At 43.9% G+C, this 2855-nt stretch overlaps 1 protein-coding gene across 1 annotated transcript; it reads right to left on the reverse strand.

The window, feature by feature from the left end:
• KRTAP1-1 (keratin associated protein 1-1) lies at window positions 1540-2449 on the reverse strand. Its single transcript, NM_030967.3, has one exon. The coding sequence runs from the start codon at window positions 2394-2396 to the stop codon at window positions 1863-1865; it is 534 nt and encodes a 177-aa protein (NP_112229.1). The 5' UTR covers window positions 2397-2449; the 3' UTR covers window positions 1540-1862.

Below are 2855 nucleotides of genomic sequence, written 5' to 3' on the forward strand. Positions count from 1 at the left end.
AGTTACAAAGTTGGGACTAGAACTCAGGAGTCTTGATTTAGCTTTTTGTTCTTCTACCCAATAGCATAAGCTATTTTTACATCTTATGCTATTGGGTAGAAGGAAAAAAAAACACACTCAAATGTTCTTTCTACTCTCTCACTCAACAACAATCAACACAGAAGATTTCTGTGGCTAATGTGTGGGGATTTCTCCCCATCAAGAAGCAAGGAAATAAATTCTGCAGCAGATACCAGCTGCATGTTTTCCACTCCAATTCCATTCTAACGCTATTTACTTGGTGATAGTGTCAGGTTTTACAGGGGGAGGGCTCAGTTCTGTAAGACTGCCCCCTACTTCCAGTGCCAAGCACAAGCTCCAGGTTGTTTTGCCTGTGCTTCTGACCAACCAGCCATAAATTGGGAATTCCATGACACCCTCAAGTTTGATGAATGTGCTAGGGCAGGTCCCAGGACTCAGGGAAACATTTAGCTTATTGGTTTATTATAAAGACAATTACAAATGGCACAGAAGAAGAGATGCATAGGGTGAGGTGTGGGGGAAGGGGTATGAGGAGCTTTCATAACCTCTCTGGGAACAGCACATTCCAGGAACCTCCACACATTCAGCTATCTGGAAGCTCCTCAAACTCTGTGGGTTTTTTTTTTTTTTTTTTTTTGAACATTTTACGGGGACTTCAGTGGATGGGCATGATGGACAACCATTAGAAACGTGATTGGACAAAAAGAGTATGATCTAATGTTAGTAGAGTGAGTGATGAAACCTGTCTGTCAGATCCTTCTTGGTCTCTCTATGCAGCCTTCCTTCCTCCAGGGCATGGGGCAGAACCTCTTCTGAAATGGGGATCTTATGACCTACAATCAGGCAAGGTAGGTAGGAGAATATCTTGATGGCCAGTGCCAAGAACAGTGGGGGAAGATTCTTGCCTTGAGGAGTAAAAGGAGCAGGTGAAAAGAGGTGGGGAGAAGGCCAGAGAGAGAGAGAGAGCAAGAGCAAGTGAGTGAGCGAGAGCGAGAGAGAGAGAGATTCTGTTTTCTGAGGCCTGCTTCTGAAGTGTAAAGTGCCCTAACATCAATAAAAGGGCTATGGGAGTTATGAGCCTAGACCTTGAATGAAATGTGTATATTCGTTACATGCTATTACTCTGTAATCTTGTGTTTGTATTCTTTCACAATTTTTATTATGCTTTTGTATATCTTGGAGGACAGAAATAATTGTATACAACCTCATATATGAATGGATGAATGAATAGATTTGGCAAAACCTCAAGAAGCTGAATCAATCTGTTGGAATACCTAGCCCACCACTTTGCACATGAGAGGACCTTAGGAAACAGTTCCTAAATGTTGTCAAGTTCCTTTAATCATATGTCTTGGCTGCAAAATATTGGACCATTTAATGGTAAAACAAAGGAAAATTGCTGTTAAATATCATCATTAAAAGAGCAAAAGTACAGAAAAACCATAGTGTCATGTCATGTTGATATTTTGAAAAATCCCAGTACCCCAATATTGTTAATAAATTCCAAAGCAAAGAAAGTTCAAACAACAACTTCATCATTGAAGAGATGAAAACTTTTATTAAATTTAAGTCCCAATAACTGTTGAAATATTTCAGGTGATATTTATAGTAAAATAGTATCTAACTCTTTTCACATTGTAGGACTTTGGCTGACAACCAGGTCTAGGAAAAATTTTTGGTCTTCCATTGTAAATGAATTTACTTCCTAGGGAATTTATGTGGCTGTGTGATGAGAGGTTGCAAGCCCAGTTATAGGTACTGGAGTTCAGAAGATTGTTAGGATTCTAATTTGGCTAGTTTTAAGGTGCCATCTTATCAGGATCCCCAGCAGAAGGAGGTTTTCAACAAGTGGGCTCAGAGCAGTAGCAGCAGCAGACTGGGCGGCAACAGGACTGTCCACAGTAGGATGGGCGGCAGCAGGAGGCCTCGGCGTGGTGCAGCTGGCAGCAGGATGGGGGTGTGCAGCTCACCACGCAGCAGGGGGGCAGGCAGGTACCCTCCACACGGCAGTCTGGGCGGCACCACCTGATACGGGTGCTCACAGCTCCACTGCTGCCCTCCTGGCCATAGCCAATGCCACCACCAATGCCACAGCCAGTTCCGCAGGAGCTGGTCTGGTAGCAGCTTGGCTGGCAGCAGCTAGTTTCACAGCAGCTTGGCTGGCAGCAGCTAGAGTCACAAGTCCCACCGGTTGAGAAGCTAGGAAATCCACAGAAGCTGGTCTGGCAGCAGCTTGGCTGGCAGCAGCTGGTCTCACAGCAGCGTGGCTGGCAGGAGCTGGTCTCACAGCAGCTTGGCTGGCAGCAGCTGGAGCCGCAGGTCCCACTGGTGGAGCAGCTGGGAAATCCACAGAAGCTGGTCTGACAGCAGGCCATGGTGTCAGGAGTTGATCTGAAGGTTGGGTTGCTTGGAGGAGTTTCTGAATTATGGCTGCCTATTCCACTGCCGGCTTTTTATAAGTCTGGGCCAATTCCTCTATTTGTGGCGAGCAACATTTTTATCTTGTTACTCTTTAAACCAGCCTTTCTAGGGCCCTCTGATGGTTCAAATGCTGAATTGTTTTAAATATATCTCAAAATTGATTTTTCCTTATTGCTCAGCTAATACTCACCAAATGTGTTTGTCCTTGGTAAAAATGTTAACATTTTGTTTACAAACAATGGTATAATTTCCACTTGAGCTTCAGCTTCAGGTTTGCACTTGTGGGTATATCACCTGACAAAGTGACTCTCACCCATAAGGTGATGTGATTTTGGAGATCATATTCACCAAACCTCAGGTCTCCAGAAAAGAATTATTAATCATGATTGCCCTTATGTAAGACTGCTTTGTAT

The sequence above is a fragment of the Homo sapiens genome, chromosome 17 (genome assembly GCF_000001405.40).
Source record: "Homo sapiens chromosome 17, GRCh38.p14 Primary Assembly".
Classification (NCBI taxonomy): domain Eukaryota; kingdom Metazoa; phylum Chordata; class Mammalia; order Primates; family Hominidae; genus Homo; species Homo sapiens.